A 1462-nucleotide genomic window follows, 5' to 3' on the forward strand; every position below is an offset into this window, starting at 1 on the left:
ATGGCGTGATTTTGGCTCACTGCAACCTCTGCCTTCTGGGTTCAAGCAATTCTCCTGCCTCAGCCTCCTGAGTAGCTGGGATTACAGGTGCCCGCCACCACACCCATCTAATTTTTGTATTTTTAGTAGAGATAGGGTTTCACCGTGTTGGCCAGGCTGGTCTCAAACTCCTGACCTCAGGTGATCTGCCCACCTCAGCCTCCCAAAGTGCAGGGATTACAGGCATGAGCCACCATGCCCAGCCTCCATTTCTTTTTTGTAGTTTTTAATAAACAGTTGCTATCATTGCAGACTTGCTATTTAGGCACTTAGGAATTTTTCACTAGAAGGCATGTAAAGAAAGACCATCAGCATTTGTAATGAATTTAGCATTCATTCTTTGACTGCATGACTGTCCCCAGAGCTTTAACTTTACTAATGAATGTTTCAGAAGCCACTTAGCTAGCAACTGGGCCTTACCAGCCACTTACTCTCGTTATTCAGTGCTCTTTTATTCTTGTCTATTTCTCCTCAAACTTGGCTACACTCACAAAGTGATAAAAACTTGTATTTTCTTTCCTTTTTAGAGACAGGGTCTTGCTCTGTCACCCAGGCTGCAGTACAGTGACATGATCATGGTTCACTGTAGCCTCAAACTCCTGGGCTTAAGCAATCCTCAGTCTCCCAGGTAGCTGGGACTACGGACGTGTGCCACCATGCCCAGCTAATTTTTTAATTTTTTTATCATAGAGATGGGATCTTGCTAGATTGCTCAGACTAGGCTCAAACTCCTGACCTCAAGTGATCCTCCTGCCTCAGCCTCCCAAAGTGCTGGGATTACAGGCAGGCATGACCACCTGTGCCCAGCCACTTATTATTTTAAATAATAGCTGTATTAAAATATGATTCACATACCCTTCAATTTATTTATTTATTGAAATCTGCAATTCAGTAGGTTTTAGAATATTCACAGAGCTGTGCATCGATCACCACAGTCACTTTTAGAACCTTTCATTACCGTATAGAGAAATCCGCACCTCTTAGCCACTACCTCCTACTCCTCCCTACCTGCCTTGGCCCCCCAGCCTTAGGCAACCATTGATTCATTTTTTATCACTATAGAATTTCCTAATCTGGACAAATAGAATTGTACAATATGTGATCTTTTGTGGCTTTTTTTTCCCTCTTAGCACAATGTTTTCAAAGTTCCTTTATGTCATAGTGTGTATCAGTATTTCATTTCTTGTATGACTGAATAATATTCCATGGTAGAGACACACTGCATTTTGTTCATCTGTTCATCAGTTGGTGGACATTTGGGTTGTTTCCACGTATTGGCTATTATGAACAATGCTGCTATGAAGATTGCTGTACAAGTTTTTGTGCGGACATATATTTCTATTTCTCTGGGATATATGCCTAGGAGTGAAATTGTTGCATTATATGATGACTGTATATTTAGCCTTTTGAGAAACTGCCAGTT

Source organism: Homo sapiens, chromosome 7 (assembly GCF_000001405.40).
Source record: "Homo sapiens chromosome 7, GRCh38.p14 Primary Assembly".
In the NCBI taxonomy this organism is placed as follows: domain Eukaryota; kingdom Metazoa; phylum Chordata; class Mammalia; order Primates; family Hominidae; genus Homo; species Homo sapiens.